The 18,541-nt window shown below is 44.6% G+C and overlaps 1 long non-coding RNA gene across 1 annotated transcript; it reads left to right on the forward strand.

The window, feature by feature from the left end:
• The first annotated feature begins 4,053 nt into the window (after positions 1 to 4,053).
• On the forward strand, positions 4,054 to 17,105 carry LOC105373273 (uncharacterized). Its single transcript, XR_949366.3, has 3 exons — positions 4,054 to 4,207; positions 11,541 to 11,611; positions 16,819 to 17,105. It is a non-coding gene; the product is annotated as an uncharacterized LOC105373273 (long non-coding RNA).
• Positions 17,106 to 18,541: the final 1,436 nt, after the last annotated feature.

The raw sequence follows: 18,541 nt of genomic DNA on the forward strand, positions 1-18,541 counted from the left end.
AACTCAAAAGTCCAAAGTCCAAATTCTCATCTATGACAAAGCAAGTCTCTTCCACCTATGAACTTGTAAAATAAAAAACAAGTTAGTTACTCCCAAGATACAATGGGGGCATAGGCATTGGGTAAATACTCCTGTTCCAAAAGGGAGACATTGGCCAAAAGAAAGGGGCTCCTAGCCCCATGCAAGTTTGAAACCCAGCAGGGCAGTCATAAATCTTAAAGCTCCAAAATAATTTCTTTTGACTTTATGTCTCAAATCCGTAGCACACTGGTGCAAGGGATGGGCTCCCAAGACCCTGGGCAGCTCCACCCCTGTGACTTTGCAGGGTTTGCCCCCAGTGGCTGATCTCACAAACTGGTGTTGATTGCCTGCACCATTTCCAGACACAGGGAGTAAGCTGCCAGTGGATCTACCATTCCAGGGTCTAGAGGGTGGTGGCTCCCTTCTTACAGCTCCACTAGGCAGTGACCCAGAGGGGACTCTGTGTGGGGGCTACACATTTCCCCTCCACACTGCCCTAGTAGAGGTTCCCCATGTGGGATCTGCCTCTGCAGCAGGCTTCCACCTGAATACCCAGGCTTTCCCACATATCCTCTGAAATCCAGGTGGAGGCTCCCAGGCCTCAACTCTTGTACTCTGTGCACCCACAGGCTTGACACCACGTGGAAGCCACCAGGCTTACAGCTTGCACCCTCTGAAGCAGTGGCCTGAACTGTGCCTGGGCCTTTTTGAGCCAAGGCTGGAACTGGAATGGGTGGGATGCAGGGAGTTGTGTCCCAAGGCTGTGCAGGGTGAGCCCTGGTCATGTTACATAAAACCATTTTTCCCTCCTAAGCCTTTGGGCCTGTGATGGGAGGGGCTCTTGCCAAGGTCTCTGAAATGCCTTTGAGGCCTTTTCCCTATTGTCTTAGCTATCAGCACTTGACTCATTTCTACTTATGCAAATTTCTACAGCATGCTTGAATTCCTCCCCTGAAAATGGACTTTTCTTATTTCTTCTTTAAAAAAAAAAAAAAAAGGAATACACGTGCAGAATGTGCAGGTTTGTTACATAGGTATACGTGTGCCATGGTGGTTTGCTACACCTATTGACCCATCTTCTAAGTTCCCTCCCCTCACCCCACAGACCCCAGCAGGCCCTGGTGTGTGTTGTTCCCCTCTTTGTGTCCATGTGTTCTCATTGTTCAACTCCCACTTATGAGTGAGAACATGCAGTGTTTGGTTTTCTCTTCCTGTGTGTCAGTTTGCTGGGGATGATGGCTTCCAGCTTCATCCATGTCTCTGCAAAGGATATTATCTCATTCCTTTTCATGGCAGCATAGTATTCTATGGTGCATATGTACCACATTTTCTTTATCCAGTCTATCCTTGATGGGCATTTGGGTTTGATCCATGTCTTTGCTATTGTAAATAGTGCTGTAATAAACATACATGTGCATGTGTCTTTATAGTACAGTGATTTATATTCCTTTGGGTATATACCCAGTAATGGGATTGCTGGGTCAAATGGTATTTCTGGTTCTACATCCTTGAGGAATCACCATACTGTTTTTCACAATGGTTGAACTAATTTACAGTCCCAACAATGTAAAAGCGTTCCTATTTCTCCACATCCTCTACAACATCTGTTGTTTCCTGACTTTTTAAAAATCGCCTTTCTAATATGAGATGGTATCTCATTATGGTTTTGATTTGCATTTCTCTGATGATCAGTGATGTTGACCTTTTCTTGTTTTTTGGCCACATAAATTTCTTCTTTTGAAAAGTGTCTGTTCATATGTTTTGCCCACTTTTTGATGGGGTTGTTTGTTTTTTTCTTGTAGATTTAAGTTCCTTGTAAATTCTGGATATTAACCCTTTGTCAGGTGGGTAGATTGCAAAAATTTTCTCCCATTCTATAGGTTGCCTGTTTACTCTGATGCTAGTTTCTTTTGCTGTGCAGAAGCTGTTTAATTAGATCCCATTTGTAAATTTTGGCTTTTGTTGCAACTGTTTTTGGTGTTTTAGTCATGAAGTCTTTGCCCATGCCTATGTCCTGAATGGTATTGCCTAGGTTTTCTTCTAGGGTTTTTCTGGTTTTGGGTTTTACATTTAAGTCTTTAATCCATCTTGAGTTAATTTTTATATAAGGTGTAAAGAAGGGGTCCAGTTTCAGTTTTCTGCATATGGCTAGCCAGTTTTTGGGCTTTTCTTTTCTACCACATGGCCATGCTGCAAATTTTCCAAACTGTTATGCTCTGCATCCCCTTTAAATATAAGTTCCAACTTTAGATCATTTCTTTGCTCATGCATATAAGCATAAGCTTTTGGAAGCAACCACTCTACTTCTTGAATGTTTTGTTGTTCAGAAATGTCTACCACCAGATACACTAAATCATCATTCTCAAGTTCAAAGCTCCACAAATTTCTAGGGCAGATACACAAAGCAGCCAAGTTCTTTGCTAAGGCATAACAAAAGTGACCTTTGCTCCATTTCTTAATAAGCTCCTCATTTCCATCTGACAGCCTGGACTTTCATGTCCCTATCACTATCAGCATTTTGGACACAACCATTTAACCAATCTGTAGGATATTCCAAACTTTCCATCATCTTCCTGTCTTCTTCTGAACCCTACAAACTCTTCCAACTTCTGCCTGTTACCCAGTTTCAAAGTCACTTCATATTTTCAGGTATCTTTATAGCAATGCCCCACTCCTCAGTACCAATTTTCTGTATTAGGCTGTTCTTGCATTGCCATAAACAAACATCTGAAACTGGTTAATGTATAGTAAAAAGAGGCTCAATTGGCTCAGGATTCCACAGGCTGTACAGGAAGCATGATGCTGGCAACTGCTTAGCTTCTGGGGAGGCCTCTGGAAACTTACAGTCATGGTGGAAGATGAAGGGGGAGCAGGCATGTCACATGGCCACAGCAGCAAGAGAAAGATGGGGGAGGGGCTACATGCTTTTAAATAACCAGATCTCATGAGAACTCACTCACTATTGTGATGACAGTACCAAGGGGGGATAGTGTTAAATTATTCATGAGAAACCACCCCCATGATCTAGTCACCTCTCACCAGGCCCCACCTCCAACTTTAGGAATTACAACTGAACATGAGATTTGGGTGAGGACACAGATCCAAGCCATATCACCATAAAAAACCCAAGTCCTTGAATTGAGGACCCCAAGAGCCTGCTTGGTGCTCTACTCCCCTGTTGCCAAGCTGGTACCTAAGGTGCAAAATAAAGTCCCCTTTACTTTTCCCTCTGCTTTTCTCAAGCAGAAGGAGTCTTGCCCCATAGCCGCACAGATGGTAATGTGCCGAGTCTCACCTAAAACCAGAACATCTCAGAGTCTCACCATGACTTACTGCCTGGGTATCATGCTCCTTATTCAGGGCCCAAGGGCTCTTCAGTTAGTGGGTGATGATTCCTGGCAGGCCTGTGTTCTTCCTTTCAAGGTACTGGGTTCCCTTCTGAACCCACGTGTGTCTAGAAATGTCCAGGAGCCAGGGCTTGGAAAAGGGGCCTCACAACTCTGACTGGTACCCTATTCTGCCGTGGTTGGGTTGGTATCCAAGGTAAAGACAAAGTCCTACCACTCTTCCCTTTCCTCTCCTCAAGTGGAAGTAAGTGTTCTCTTTTAGAACTACAAACTCTGCAGCCTGGGTGTGGGGAAGGGGTAATGCCAGCACTCCCTTAATCACTTTTAGAACTACAAACTCTGCAGCCTGGGTGTAGGGAGGAGTAATGCCAGCACTCCCTTAATTGCTCCAGCTGGTGTCTCAGTGGGTCATGTGCCCCCACAGCCCACTGGCTATGAGCCCAGTTCAGCACAGGAACTTGCCTAGGAGTTGCAGCCCTTGTAGCCTAGAATGCCTTTCAAGTTTATTTAGGGCCCTGGAGCACTTTAGCCTGTGGCAGTGAGGCTTGCAGGTTCTGACTGCTGGGATTGGCGATTTCCCTCTGGCTAGAGCTTGTTTATATGCTCCTTCCATTGATGGGCATCAGCTGAGTTTTGTTCCATTTTGTTTTCTGCTCTAACAGGGCAGCACTGAGTTCAATGCCTCACAGTTGTTGCACTTTGCCTCTCTCCAGTGCACAGAATCACTCTCCGCACCATGCCACAGCTGCTTGGGAATGGGGGAGGGATGGTGTTTGTGATTCAAGACTGTTTTTCCTACCTCTTCAATGCCTCTTTCAGCAATATGAAGTTAAAACCAGGTACTGTGAGTTCACAGTTGATTTTTAGTTCTTATAAAGGTGGTTTTTTTTGTAGATGTTAAATTGGTGTCCTCGCAGGAGAATGATTAGTGAAGCCTGTTCTGCCGTCTTGCTCTGCCCTTCCCTTAATTTTGCTTCATGCTTAATTTTTACTTATGTTTACTTATAGTTTTACTACACTTAAATGTGACTTATGCTTAATATTACTAAGCAGATTAGTTTAAAAACTCTATGTAGTCAAATATATTAATATTTTCCTTCATTGTTTCAGGATTTGAGACATAGTGAGAAAGTTTTCCATGCTCCCATTTATACAATGATTCATCTATGCATTTTATTCTGGCATTTTTTTTTTTAATTAGAATGGAATATATGGAAACTTTGCTATTTGCATGCATTTACTTTTATGGTTTATAATATGATTTAAGCTTTATTCTTATCCATATTACTATCTAGTTATTCCCACATGACTTGTCTTAATATGTCTTCCCCCATTGCTTTAGATATCACCATACATTTATTCGTTTTTCAAGTGGATCTATTTTCCTTTTTCTAGATTGGTTAATCTCTTTCACTGGAAAGTCTATTATTTTTAATAAGCTAATGGTTTACATTTATAACATTTTATAGAAGGTTTTTTCATTGATGTTAATAAATATGAATGATCTGCTGTTTTTTTTCTTTTGATACCATCTTTGTTAGTATTTGGTACCAACGTTCTATTTACTTCATAAAACATATTTGGAATTTGATTATATAAATGTATCCAATTATGACATCTACCCCAAAAATACACACATCTATTACATATCAATAAAAGGTAAAATTTTTTTTAAGTTTGCAAGTTTTCCTTTTTTTCTCAAAAAACCAATTTTATAATATTGATATTTTTAAACAATTAAGGATTTCTTTATGACTAATATTTACTCTATTTTAGAAGTATTTTGTGCTACATAAAAATAATTTTATTTTTGTTTAGTTTATACTTATTCATTTGAGATTAATAATCATGCCTTTGAAAATTTTTAGTGTCTAGGAAGTCTTATTTAGCTGAATATATCCATCAGTCCTTAGGGGTATAGGCTAAATTTCCTCCCATAGGCAAAAATGTGGATGATTGACATGGAGAAAAGCAGCTCATAACAGTCATCTAATAATAGTGACATGGAAGAGGACTCCTCCAAGGGAGCTGTGCAGTTGGCAGGCAAGCTTATGAGGATCACACTGAGAAGGGCTCAGCAGGCATGAAGGCCTGGAGTGCTTTTAGCACTGTTGCAATGGAAAGGAGGGGGTTGCTCTCAGATGTCTCATGGTTTCTTCAGCTAGTGGAAGTCCTCAGAGGAGAACAGAAGATGGTCCCCACATCGTAAGGTGTGTAGGCCAAGTAATTATATGCCTCCTTTATGTTTTCTTGTCAGTATGTTGAACTAGTGTGGTAACCTGGTTAATTATTGCCAACTCAGGATATAGGGAGGTTTAAACATCTTTGATTTACATAGAATCAGGGCAAGGATGAATCATGACTGAAAAAGTGTTGGGTCTAGCGTAAATATGCCTTGTGACTACGCAGACTTCATGTGAGAAAGTCTCTAAATAGGAGAGGTCACTGCAATAGGAATTGCCATGTTTCCTGTGAATGCCATAGGCTGCATATTGTTGGTTATGTAGACTAGCTAATGGCTCTCCCCTATAGGACCATAGCTAGCTAAATCCTACTGTTCTGCAGGGACGTGGTGGCCTCTGATGTAGGATGTCCATTATGGAGCTATTTCCATTCTATATGGGAGACTGAGGCGGGTGGATCACTTGAGGCCAGGACTTCGAGACCACCCTGGCCAACATGGTGAAACCCCATCTCTACTAAAAATACAAAAATTAGCCGGGCGCGGTGGCATGTGCCTGTAACCCCAGCTATTCAGGAAGCTGAGGCAAGAGAATCCCTTGAGCCTGGGGGGCAGAGGTTGCAGTGAGCTGAGATCATGCCACTGGATTCCAGCCTAGGTGACAGAGTGAGACTCCATCTCAAAAAAAAAAAAAAAAGCGAGTGGAATAGAATAGGAGACAAGTAGAGAGAATGTAATGGAATAGAATAGAAAGAATAGAATTGGGTTAAATTGAATTGAACAGAATGGTGTGAAGTGGAATAGAACAGAGTTGAATGAAATAGAATAGGAGTGGAGTGAAATGGAACAGAATGGAGTGGGATGGAATGGAGTAGGACAGGAGTGAAATAAAGCAGAATAGAGTTGACTAGACTGAAATATAATGGAATGGAGTGAAGTGGAATGTGGTGGAGTGGAGTAGAATAGAGTGGGAAGGAATGGAGTGCAGTGAAGTCGAGGGAGTGGAGTGGAAATGAATGGAATGGAATACAGTGGAAAGAAATGGAATAGATTAGAATGAAGTGGAATGGAATATATTAGAATCAATTAGAGTGTAATGGAATAGAGTAAGATAGAATGAAATAGAATTGAATAGGATGGAATGGAGTGGAATGGAATAGACAGAACGGAATGGAATGAAGGCAAGTGAAGTATAGTGAAAGACAATTGAATTGAACAGAATGATGTTGAGTAGAGTGGAATACAATGGAGCATAATGAAATAGAATGGAATGGAATAAGAATGGAGTGGAGTGGAATGGAATGTAATAGAGTAGAATAGAACAGAATGGAATGGAGTAAAATGAAATAGACTAGACTAGAATAAATTGAAATAAAATGGAGTGGTATAAAACAGAATATAATTGAACATAATAAACTAGAATGCAAAGGAGTGGAGTAGAATAGAGAGGAGTAGAATGGCATAGAATATAACAGAATGCAGTGGAAGGGAATTGAAAAGAATGAAATTGGCCAGGAACAGTGGTTCACGCCTGTAATCCCAGCACTTTGGGAGGCCGAGGTGGGCGGATCATGAGGTCAGCAGTTCGAGACCAGCCTGACCAACATGGTGAAACCCCGTCTCTACCAAAAATACAAAAATTAGCCAGGCGTGGTGGCACGTGCCTATAATCCCAGCTACTCGGGAGGCTGAGGCAGGAGAATCGCTTGAACCCGGGAGGCAGAGGTTTCAGTGAGCCGAGATCGCGCCACTGCACTCCAGCCTGGCAAAGATTGAGACTCCATCTCAAAAAAACAAAAAACAAACAAATAAAAAGAATGAAATTGAATAAAATAGAATAAATTGGAAAAAATGGGATGGATTGTAGTGAAACAGAATATAACTGAATAGAATATAATACAATGGAATGGAGTGGTGTGGAATAGTGAAGTAAAATGAAAAAGAATGGAAGAGAATAGAAAGAATAGAATAAAATGGGATGGAGTGAAATGAAGGGAGTGAAGTATAATGGAAGGGAGGGGAATAGAATAGAATGGAGTGGAGTGGAGTAAAATGAAATGAAATAGTATAGAATGAAATGGAATAGAATAAGCAAAATGAAATAGAGTGGAGTAGAATGGGGTAGGATAGAATAAGACAAAATGAAGTAGAGTGGTGTGTAATGGAATAGAACAGACTAGAATAGACCAGAATAGAACAGAACGGAGTGCAGTGGGATGGAAACAAATGAAGTAGAACGGAATAAGTGAAATGGAATGGAGAGGAGTTGAGTGAGCTGGAGTAGACTGAACTGAGAGGAGTGGAGGGCTGCATCTTGTAAGGGACCTTCTTTCTAGTGGAGACTCTGCAGAGTTCCAAGGTAGGCCAGGGCATCACATAGCAACGGGGTTGAGTGCGATAGCTCAGGTCTCTCTTCCTTTACTTATTAAGCTGCCAGCTCCATTCCTATGATAACCCATTAATCAGGTAATCCATGAATGAGTAACTCATTCATGAGAGCAGAGGCCTCATGGTACAATCACCTCCTAAAAAGGTCCCATTTCTCAACACTGCCACATTGGGAATTAGGTTTCAACATGAGTTTTTGTGGGGACAAGCCATATTCAAACCACAGCACTGGGACAGTACATTCTCCCTTTAATGTTGAAGGGATAGAGATTGCCTAGGACATACAGCAGAGAAATCCACCAAGAAGAAAATGGTTTTTTTGTTTGTTTTGAAACAGGTCTTGCTCTGTCACCCAGGCTGGAGAGTAGTGGCACGATCTCAGCTCACTGCAGCCTCGGACTCCCAGGCTCAAGGGATCCTCCCGTGTCAGCCTGGGAGTCAGGCTGATTTCCATTCAGTCAGTAACTGGGATTACAGGTGCATGCCACCACGCCTGGCTAATTTTTATATAAAAAAGTTTTTAAGGCTGGGCATGGTGGCTCACACCCGTAATCCCAGCACTTTGGGAGGCTGAGGTGGGCAGATCACGAGGTCAGGAGTTTGAGACCAGCCTGGCCAGCATGAAGAAACCGCGTCTCTACTAAAAATACAGAAAAAAAAAAAAAAAAAAAAAAAAAAAAAAAAAAAAGCCAGGCGTGGTGGCAGGCGCCTGTAGTCCCAGCTACTCAAGAGGCTGAGGCAGGAGAATTTCTTTCTTTCTTTCTTTTTTTTTTTTTGAGACGGAGTCTCGCTCTGTCGCCCAGGCCGGACGGCAGGAGAATTTCTTGAACCCCAGAGGCGGAGGTTACAGTGAGCCGAGATCACGCCACTGCACTCCGGCCTGGGCGACAGAGCAAGACTCCGTCTCAACAACAACAACAACAACAACAAAAAAAAAAAAAAAAAAGAAAGAAAAGAAAAGTATTTAAATTTAATTCAATGTTTAAAAATGTACTCAGGGCCGGGCGCGGTGGCTCACGCCTGTAATCCCAGCACTTTGGGAGGCTGAGGCGGGTGGATCACGAGGCCAGGAGATCAAGACCGTCCTGGCTAACACAGTGAAACCGTCTCTACTAAAAAATACAAAAAATTAGCTGAGCGTAGTGGCGGGCTCCTGTAGTTTCAGCTACTCTGGAGGTTGAGGCAGGAGAATGGTGTGAACCCGGGAGGCGGGGCTTGCAGTGAGCCGAGATCGCGCCACAGCACTCCAGCCTGGGCGACAGAGCGAGACTCCGTCTCAAAAAGAAAAAAAAAAAAATTAACTCAGGGGCTGGGCACTGTGGCTCATGCCTGTAATTCCAGCATTTTGGGAGGCCGAGGCAGGTAGATTATCTGAGGTCAGGAGTTCAAGCCCAGCCTGACTAACATGGTGAAACCCCATCTCTACTAAAAAAAGTACAAAAATTAGCCGGGTGTGGTTGCATGTGCCTGTAATCCCAGCTACTCGGGAGGCTGAGGCAGGGGAATCACTTGAACCCGGGAGGTTGAGGCTGCAGTGAGCTGAGATGGCGCCACTGCACTCCAATCTGGATGACAGAGCGAGACTCCACCTCCAAAAAACAAACAAACAAACAGACAACAACAACAACAAAAAAACAGTACTCAGGCTGGGCGTGGTGGCTTACGCTTGTAATCCCAATACTTTGGGAGGCCAAGGCAGGCAGATCACTTGAGGTCAGGAGTTCAAGACTAGTCTGGTCAACATGGCGAAATCCCATCTCTGCTAAAAATATAAAAATTAGCCAGACGTGATGTTGTGTGCCTGTAATACCAGCTACTAGGGAGGCTGAGGCAGGAGAATCGTTTGAACTCAGGAGGTGGAGGTTGCAGTGAGCCGAAATCATGTCATTGCACTCCAGTATGGGCAACAGAGCAAGACTCTGTCTCCAAAAAAAAGAAAAAAAGAAAAAAAAAAAAACCTTCAAAATTCAAAAGGACAAACCAAAATAACACGAAAAATCTCCCTGTGACCTTTTATCACCTAGACCTTCAGTTCCGTTTTCCAGAGGAAATGATGTTAACATTGCTATGTAAATCTCTCAAAAATATTTTATACATACAATAGCATGTATATATAGCATATATAACTATAGATGTGTGTTGTATTAATTTCCTATTGGTGCTATAAAAATTACCACAAATTTAATTGTTTAAAATAAAATATATTTAGGCTGAGCATGGTGGCTCACGCCTGTATTCCCAGCACTTTGGGAGGCCGAGGCGGGCAGATCACCTGAGGTCGGGAGTTTGAGACCAGCCTGAGCAACATGGAGAAACCCCGTCTCTACTAAAAATACAAAATTATGCGGGTGTGGTGGCGCATGCCTGTAGTCCCAGCTACTCGGGAGGCTGAAGCAGGAGAATTCCCTTGAACCTGGGAGGTGGAGGTTGCAGTGAGCTGAGATCGTGCCATTGCACTCCAGCCTGGGCAACAAGAATGAAACTCTGTCTCAAAATAAATACATAAATAAATAAGATATATTTATTATCTTGCAATTCTGGAGTCAGACATCTCACATGGGCCACAGTGGGCTACAAATCAAGATGTCGGCCGAGCCTGATGGCTCATGCCTATAATGTCAGTGCTTTCAGAGGCCTAGGCAGGAGGATCACTTGAGCCCAGGAGTTCAAGGCCAGCCTGTGCAACATAGCGAGACCCCCATCTCTACAAAAAAAATTTTCTTAACTAGCCAGGTGTAGTGGCACACACCTGTAGTCCAGAGGCTGAGATGGGAGGACTGCTTGAGTCCAGGAGTTCAAGGTTGCAGTAAGCCATGATCATGCCACTGCACTCCAGCCTGGGTGACAGAGGGAGAACTAGTATCAAAAAAAAAAAAAGAAAAGAAAGAAAAGAAAAAGAAAACATAAATAAAGAAAAGCACATATGCAATATATGCAATGTTAGTTAAACAGATGAGTTGATTAGACACGTTTGTTTATTTATTTTTATTTATTCATTTTTGTTTGAGACAGAATCTCATTGTCGTTGCCCAGGCTGGAACGCAGGGGCATGATCATGGCTCACTGCAGCCTCAACTCCCTGGGCTCAAGCGATCCTCCCACCTTAGCCTCCTGAGTAGCTGACTACAGGTGCTCACCACCACAGCCAGCTAATTTTTTGTATTTTTAGTAGAGACTGGGTTTCACCACATTATCCAGGTTGGTCTCGAACTCCTGGGCTCAAGTGATCTGCCCGTCTTGGCCTCCCAAAGTGCTGGTTACAGGTATTTGCCGTGGCACCTGGCCTGTTTATTTAGTTTTGAGATGAGGTCTGGCAATGTGACCCAGGCTGGACTTGAACTCTGGGCTTAAACCATCCTCCAGCTTCAGCCTCCTGAGTAGTTGGGACTACAGGCTTGCACCACCACACCCAGAATATTATTAAACACCCCCCAAATCCAGGTGCTTTTTTTAGCCTGCGTGACAAAGACATGAGCTCACGATTATTACAGCATCCAGCCGAACAGCAAGGATTCAAAATGAATATGGGAAGATATCTCCCCAAATCACTGTCTTATTTTGTCTTATGACTACAGCATTTCTGATTCTTAATTTATTCACAGACCACTTTCATTACATCGCCACTGCGAATACCACCTGTACTGTGTCAAGTACAAAAAAAACTCCAGACTTGGTAAGGAGTCACTTTATAGAAAAGGATTATTACAAGAGGAAGGGGAAGGGGCTGTTGTAATAGGAAGAGGGGGACTATTTCAATAGGGAGAACGCTCCTAAAATGAAATCTGCCAGCATCTCAAAGGTTGGGTAGAAAGGGGTTTTTCTTCTAGAGGGAAGAGTGACTAAAGCTAAGAAGAATGAAGTGTGGGGAAATGGGAGGAGCCTCATGAAGGGATGGGTGGGAGGTGGGGTGAATGGAGAGTAGATAGAGAATGTTTTATCCAGCGTCCAGCCTGTTCTCTGGAGGGGCTGTCTGCTGCTCCAGGCTGAGGGTGGGTCCAGGATCAGGGGCCCGGGAGAAGGAGAGTTTGGCTAACCAGCACTCTGTTCTGGTGGATCGGTGAGTACAGAGAGTCAGCCTAATCATTTGTGGGGCAATGAGTGGGAATTCGGAAGGTCTGTGTGTGGCCTTGTGCCAGGTCAACAAGGGGACATCTCTTAGAGAGATCTAAGTCATGTGAAGAAGGGAAGTTCTTTGCTGTGTCAACTAAATTAAGGCTGTGGAGGCAGACATAATTTGATAAATGTTTTGTAAATCAAAGAGTATCTGAGACAAGTCTCAGTCAATTTAGGAAGTTTATTTTGCCAAGGTTGAGGACACACCCGTGACACAGCCTCAGGAGGTCCTGATGACATGTGCCAAGGTGGTCGGGGCGCAGCTCAGTTTTATACATTTTAGGGAGGCATAGGACATCAATCAGCACATACAAAATGTCCATTGGTTCAGTCTGGAAAGGCAGGACAACTTGAAGCGAGGATGGGGCTTCCAGGTAATAGGTAGATAAGAGACAAAGGGTTGCATTCTTTTGAGTTTCTGATTAGCCTTTACAAAGGAAGTCATCAGATACGCATTTATCCCAGTGAGCAGAGGGATGACTTTGAGTTCTGTCTGTCCTCTGTCCACAAACTGTGAGGAAGGTATGTCATTTTTTTTACTTTTTTTTTTTTTTTTAAATCTTAGTAGCTATTTTTTTGGAATAGAAGGGGAGGCACGATGAGATTTGAGGAACTCAACGCAAAGATTTTTTACTCAGGGACAGGATGTAAGCCACGAATCATAAAACCTTCTCCAGGTAGTTAATTTGGACCTGTAGGTTATCAGCTGGAAGCCATTTCCAGGACACAAAGGGTAGGAAGATTGTTTTGATTCACACTCACAGGGCTCAGGTAAAAGTCACCATTGTCAACCAGTATACTTGAAGTTCTTCCTTTTAACAACTGCAATCAAGTTCTTTAAAGAAACTTCAGATTGCTCACACAAAAGGACAACCGGTAGCATTTGCCATAAAGAAAGGGTGTCTAAGGGCCAGGGGCGGTGGCTCACGCCTGTAATCTCACTTTGGGAGGCTGAGGCGGGTGGATCACGAGGTCAGGAGATCAAGACCATCCTGGCTAACACGGTGAAACCCCGTCTCTACTAAAAATAAAAAAATAAAAACATTAGCCAGGCGTGGTGGCGGGTGCCTGTATCCCAGCTACTCAGGAGGCTAAGGCAGGAGAATGGCATGAACCCAGGAGGCAGAGCTTGCAGTGAGCCGAGATCAAGCCACTGCACTCCAGCCTGGGCAACAGAGCGAGACTTCGTCTCAAAAAAAAAAAAGGTGCCTGAAGATGAACTCAAAACAAAGCAATGCTATTGAACTGTAGACACTGGAGTCCAGCTGGGTCTATGAGTTTGAGGTCATTAAATAATGGAGATTAGTAAGTGTCAAAGAAGCCATGAAGGCATCCTAGCACTGAAGAAGACTCACTGTGTGATCTCACCAGAAGAGTTGAAGAAAAGAATAACTTTTCAGTATGTAACTTTATGTTTTTAATACTATATCCATTTGCCAAACTAAAATTATCTCATTAATTCCCCACTTCGGGAATCCCAAACAATACATTAGGATGCCAGAGAAAATTTTCATAGCAGTTTTTTAAAAAGTAAACTTTAGTTTTTAGAAGAGAGCTTTAGACATTCAGAAAAATTGGTAAGATAATGCATAGAGTTCCCATAACCTCTGCACTCAGTTTCTTCTATTATTAGTATTTTATTAATGTATTTGTTGGATACACGTTATAATTAATGAATCAATGTAGATAACGTTATTAACTAAAGTCCATGCTTTGTTCAGATTTCCTCAGTTTTCACCTTATGTCTCTTTACTGTTTCGGGACATCGATCTAGGATGCCTCGTTGCACCCAGCTGTCCTGCCTCCTTAGTCTCTCCTTGACTGACAGTTTCTCAGACTTTCTTGTTTTTGATGACCTTGATGGTTTTGAGGTGCTGTGGTATTTTGTAAACTATCCCTCAATCAAGGTTTGTCTGATGATTTTCTTTTTTCTTTTTTTAAATAGAGACGAGATCTCACTATGTTGCCCAGGCTGGTCTGGAACTCATGGGCTCAAGAGATCCTCTTGCCTCAGCCTCCCAAAGTGCTGGGATTACAGGCATGAGCCACTTTGCCCAGTCTGTCTGATGATTTTCTCATGGTTAGATGAGAGTTTTGGGGGAGGAAGGTTTGGGGTTGAAAGACCACAGAGGTAAAGTGCCCTTCTCAGTACTTCATTCTCAAGGGTTCAAACTGTCAACTTGACTTATCATTGTTGATGTTGGCCTTGGTCACCTGCCTCAGGTAATGATTGTCAGGTTTGTCCATTATACAGTGACTCTTTCCTCCTTTCCACACTGTATAGATGGAGAGGCAGTCACTATAAACATTCCACACCTAAGGGCTGCAGTGCTATGCTACCACTCCTCGAGGGCAGATCATCTATGTAAATCATTTGGAGTTCTGCACAGATGATATCTACTCCCCATTTATTTATCCAACCCTTTGTTTATAACAGTACAAACTCCCTCTTGACTTTTAAATACCCAGCCAGCCCTCTGCATCCAGCCTCCCTTGTCTGCTTTTGTTTTTTGTTTGTTTTTGCTTTTTTTGCTATATGTATTAGTCCATTTGCACACTGCTATAAAGATACTACCTGAGACTGGGTAATTTTTAAATAAAAGAGGCTTAATTAACTCACAGATCCACATGTCTGTGGAGGCCTCAAGAAACTTACAATCATGGTGGTAGGAGAAGCAGGCACCTTCTTCACAAGGCAGCGAGAGAGAGAGAGAGAGAGAGAGAGAGAGAGAGAGAGAGAGGGAGAGAGGGAGACAAAGGAGGAACTTCCAAACACTTATAAAACCATCAGATCTCGCAAGAGCTCATTCACTATCATCAGAACAGCATGGGGGACACCCCCATGACCCAATCACCTGCCCCCCTTGACATATGGGGATTACAGGTTCCTCCCTCAACACACGAGGATTACAAATTGAGATGAGATTTGGGTAGGGACACAGAGCCAAACCATATCAATATAGGTTTTTGCTCTGTCACCCAGGCTGGAGTACAGTGGCATGATCAAGGGCTCAGTGCATCCTCCGCCTCCTGGGCTCAAACAATCCTTCCACCTCACCCTCCAGAGTATCTGGGACTACAGGCACATGCCACCATAACCAGCTACTTTTGTATTTTTTATAGAGATGAGGTTTTTCCATGTTGCCCAGGCTGGTCTCGAACTCCGGGGCTCAAGTGATCCACTGCCTTGGCCTCCCAAAGTGCTGGGATTACAAACCTGAGCCACCGCGCCTGGCCACTTGTCTGTGGGTGCTTTCTTCCCCAACCACCTCATCTACTCTCACAACTTCAATTACAGCAACAGGGCAAGACCCCCAACATTTCCCCAGCAGCCTAAAGCTCTCTCTGTTCTTTGGACTTGCATGTTCAGCTGTCTCCTGCCATGGCTACCCTTCCACTCTGCATGTTCCACACTGAACTCCTGCTGCAATATTCCTTCCTCCCCAAGACATCGCCCCTGTGCTCACGTAGAAACCTGGAAGTTTGCCTCCCAGCTTGCCACCCAAATACTTCTCAAATCTCTGTACTTCTCTTCACCCATATTGTTGCCTCCAAACTGCACCATGCTGGAATCTCACCTGTCCTAGCTCAGTGGCCTTGAAACTCACCTGAAATCCCCCAGTGCTGCCCTCTCCCCAGCATCCCACCATCTTCTCCCTTTTTCCCCACTGTCCCTCCCCCCTGCACCCCACTATCCTCTTATACCCCATTTTTCTCTCCTCTGCACCCCACTGCAGCGGGGCCACCTTTAAAAATACAAACCTTGGCCAGCAAGGTGGCTCACACTTGTAATCTCAGCACTTTGGGAGACTGAGGCCAGGAGTTCAAGACCAGTCTGGGCAACATGGTGAACCTTGTCTCTGCAAAAAAATAAATTAAAAAATTAGCCAGGCATGGTGAAGCATGCCTGTAGTCCCGGCTACTTGGGAGGCTGAGGTAGGAGGATAGCTTAAGCCCAGGAGTTCAAGGCTGCAATGAGCTATGATGGTGCCACTGCACTCCAGCCTGGATGAGAGAGTGAGATCCTGTCTCAAAAAATAAATAAAGTGGCCGGGCGCGGTGGCTCACGCCTGTAATCCCAGCACTTTGGGAGGCCGAGGAGGGCGGATCACGAGGTCAGGAGATCCAGACCATCCTGGCTAACACGGTGAAACCCCGTCTCTACTAAAAATACAAAAAATTAGCCGGGCGTGGTGGCGGGCGCCTGTAGTCCCAGCTACTCGGGAGGCTGAGGCAGAATGGCGGGAACCCGGGAGGCAGAGCTTGCAGTGAGCCCAGATCGCACCACTGCACTCCAGCCTGGGCGAAGCGAGACCCCAGCTCAAAAATAAATAAATAAATAAATAAATAAATAAATAAATAAATAAATAAAGTAAAAATGCAAACCTGGTTCTGCCACCTCCCTGCTGTGACGGGCTCTCAAGGTACATTCCAACAAGACCTGTTGCCACTCTGTCCCTTGTTCCCAAAGCTACACGGGTCCTCCTTAAGTCCTGCCACCCATGGACAGCCCTGCCTCCTCCCTTTCCTGTGCTGCCTTTTCTTCATCTTCCACATCTGCCTTTCAAAGTTACTTCTCCTGGAAGGCTTCTCTGACGCTACAGACTAAGGGAAAATTCCGTGATACATTTTCTATGTATTCCTAAACCGTAGCCCTTATCACAGGGGTAATTTAAAAATCACTTATTAGTGTTCATTACTTTATGCCTGAAAGGTTCTCCCCGGGGCCTGAAAGCTTAAGGGGATGAATAACTCCTCCCTCCTCAGGCCCAGTCCGGAGGCACAAGCCCACTTGCGCCAGCAGCGCGCCTCAGCAAGACAGCAGAAGCAGGAAGAGAGCCGGCCGGAAGACACTTACCCTGGCCGGAAGACATGTACCCCTGAGGATCGCGAGAGGCCATCCGGTTGCTGCGTAGCAGTCCCGTCAGACTGGAACACTTCCTGTTTACAGGACACTGTAAAACCCCTGCTCAGCACTCATTTGGTGCTGACGCCATTTTAGGTCTCATACCGTCTGCACCCAGGCGCCCAATAAAACAGCATGTTGCTCCACACCACCTTGTGTTGTTTGTTGGCGCGCTCCCGGGGTTCAAACAGATACAAGAACCTTTAATCTGGTGCCGAAACCCAGGAGGGGCTCAGGTCTGTGTCCCCTGTGGGCCTACCCCTGCACCCCGGAGAGTAGGCCACAGCAGCCGGACAAAGGAAGCTCCTCAGTCTCCAATCGCCTCTCTGTGCATGCACATCAGTCACTGATCTTGCCTACCTGTAAGTTTCCCTGGAGCCCCATTAACAGGGAAAAATCCACACAGCTTCTCTTGGTTTCTCTGGCCCGAAAATCCAACGTTGGTCCAAGAAGGCTCTGGCGTGTGCCAGGCACTCGCTGATCATCTGGTCTTAGGGGGTCGCCTCTAAGCCATTTGATCCCGTTCCAGGAACGAAAAAGGCAGCGGTGATGACTGCTTCTTTTATCGTCTCCCTCCAGCCATGCAGGACGGTCTCCTTTTCCCTGTTCTCCTGAGCCTACCCTCTGTTATGGGAAATTCTCAGTCTTCCTTTCCAAAGGACAGCCCGCTAGGCTACCTCATAAAAACCTGCAAACCTCAGGCCTCAGGCAAGATATCCGCCCTAAGCGCCTTGTCTTTTTTTCAATTCAGTCTGGCCACAGTACCAACTAGATAACGGGTCCAAATGGCCCGCAAATGGAACATTCGACTTTACAGTTTTACCTGACTTAAGCAATTATTTCCGACGACTGGAGAAATGGGGAGAGATTCCTTATGTCCTTCTGTCCAGGCCTTTTTGCACTCAGATCACAGCCCGACCTCTGCTGTTCTTGCTTACCTGTTTCTCCTCCATTCTTCCACCTTGATCGCGTTTCTCCTCCCAACCCTACCTCTTCTTCCTCGTTTGATCCAGCAGACTGCTGCCCACCCCTCCCAGCCCCTTCCTCTCCCTCTCAAATGTCTTTTTTAAACCCCCAAGCCTCCTCTTTATCTTCTCAGCCGCCACCTTCCCAGTCAGCAGTATCCACTTCTCTTCCGACACCGTCCCCTCCTCAGGACAATTCTAGTATTGCCTGTCCCCATTCTCCTTCATCACCGCCCTCTCTCCTGAGGCCCGTAAACCCATCCCGCCACCTTACACCCCTATCTATCCTCCGCCGCCTATTAACTCAACCCCTCTTCCCCCTTCAAACCCTCAGCAGGAACCACTTCCGGCTTTTCCTTCTCTCCCGCCCATACTCGCTCGGGCGCCATCTTCAGCCCATGCCCCACCTTTACTTCAGCGCCCCCTTCGGGAAGTAGCAGGAACTGAAGGTATTGTTAGAGTTCATGTTCCATTCTCCCTCACTGATCTCTCTCAAATTAACAAAAGACTTGATTCACTTCCAGAAGACCCTACCTCTTATATATGAGTTTCATACCTCACCCAGTCTTATGAACTAACCTGGCATGACCTCTACATTATCCTGTCTTCCACCCTCACC

The sequence above is a fragment of the Homo sapiens genome, chromosome 1 (assembly GCF_000001405.40).
Source record: "Homo sapiens chromosome 1, GRCh38.p14 Primary Assembly".
NCBI lineage: Eukaryota > Metazoa > Chordata > Mammalia > Primates > Hominidae > Homo > Homo sapiens.